Source organism: Homo sapiens, chromosome 1 (genome assembly GCF_000001405.40).
Source record: "Homo sapiens chromosome 1, GRCh38.p14 Primary Assembly".
Taxonomy (NCBI): Eukaryota; Metazoa; Chordata; class Mammalia; order Primates; family Hominidae; genus Homo; species Homo sapiens.
The window spans coordinates 112,083,278-112,084,775 of NC_000001.11; the positions used below are offsets into that span (position 1 = coordinate 112,083,278).

At 38.3% G+C, this 1,498-nt stretch overlaps 1 annotated feature.

Moving 5' to 3' along the window:
* Positions 337-537: a silencer, noted in NCBI's record as "peak366 fragment used in MPRA reporter construct". NCBI's record gives its function as "represses an SCP1 promoter by STARR-seq MPRAs in K562 erythroleukemia cells {active_cell/tissue: K562}" and the evidence as "EXISTENCE:reporter gene assay evidence [ECO:0000049][PMID:32103011]".

Consider the following 1,498-nt stretch of genomic DNA (forward strand, 5'->3'; position numbering starts at 1 on the left):
CAGTAGAAAAGGACAAAGCATTAATGTTGAGTAGATAGGAGGGAAGGATTACTTAGTGCAGCTAGGGCATATACCATTCCTCCCACTCTCTCTCCCCTATCACACCTATAACCAACACAATGCTAACCAGAGATTTCAAGGATTCAGATATCTTAAGGACCCTTTTCCACTCTCTCACTCCTAGAAAGGATGGGTCACTCCACAGATGACATGAATGCTATTTCTACAGCTTAATATCACTTGGTCCTGGGGGAAGGAGAAAGGAGGAAACTTCAAAAACTTAGTTTCATTCATTACTTAAACAATGATTAGAAGAAAAGCATCTGTCCTGCTGATCCTTCAGAGGGTTGAGTGATGACCAAATGCAGTCCCTGATAGTTTTCTCGTTCACACATAGTAAGAGCAGCTGTTTTCAGCACCTTGGAGAGGGTTTATACTTTTCTGACTTTAAAACCTTGAGACAACGCAGAGATCTCCTGAGACTTTTCCGGATGACTTGTGGCATAACCTGCACTTTATGGGGTCTGAATCAAGGATGTTGGCATCCAAGAGATTTTCTCAGCCTGTGTGGGGAGTTGACCTGACCTGCTTTCAACCAGCTACTAAGGTCACATAGCAAGTTTGAGAACTTGCGTAGTGTACCACTGCCAAGAAAGGCATAGATGAAAGAGAACACTGAGAACAGTGCCTGGCATATGCTAGGAGTTCAATGTTATTGTTTAATAAATGAATCAATGCTGTATATCTATCACCAGTAATTGTACCAATATCTTATGAGGACTAAATAAGATAATGCTTGCTTAACAAAATGCTAAAATATAAGATATGCATAATAACTGTTAGCTATAATCCTAAGAAAACTACCTAAAATGTGAACAAAGATGTTTATCACAGCATTGTTTATAATACAAAAGTAGAAACAACATAAATATGTAAAAATATCATAATCCATATGATGGAGTAAAGGAGCCATGAAATGATGTTTTCAAAGTTCCTTTGTGATAGGATGGTACTGATTGAGATGTTTACCCTTAGGAATAGTGCAGTTTACAGCAGAGACAGAGAACTGTCAAAAACAAAGTGACTAAATATTATAGGGGCTGAGTTTAAAGGGAATCTGATTTTCAATCTTGAGATTCCTCATACCAACAGAGTTGACAAAACTAGAATTGATTTGGTGGCTTTTTATCACTGAGATATAAAATAAAGCTACCTTTTAATGAAGAACAGTGTTATGAAGAAAATTTACTCATTTTTATCTCTCCATGGAAGAGGAGATGAAGAAAATTTAACTTATTCTCATCTTCAAACCAAAAGAGGGGATCCCAGTGGGTATCTCCAAGAGGGAGAGACTAACATCTTATTCCAAGGTTCTGCCATAGCTGGAGACAGAACACTGCAGGGTGTAGGGAGAGGTTTTGTGGTATGGTCAAGTGATGAGGGACAAGAACATCACCTGGGTGCCCACTAGACATTTTTTCTTTCTTTCTTTCTTTCT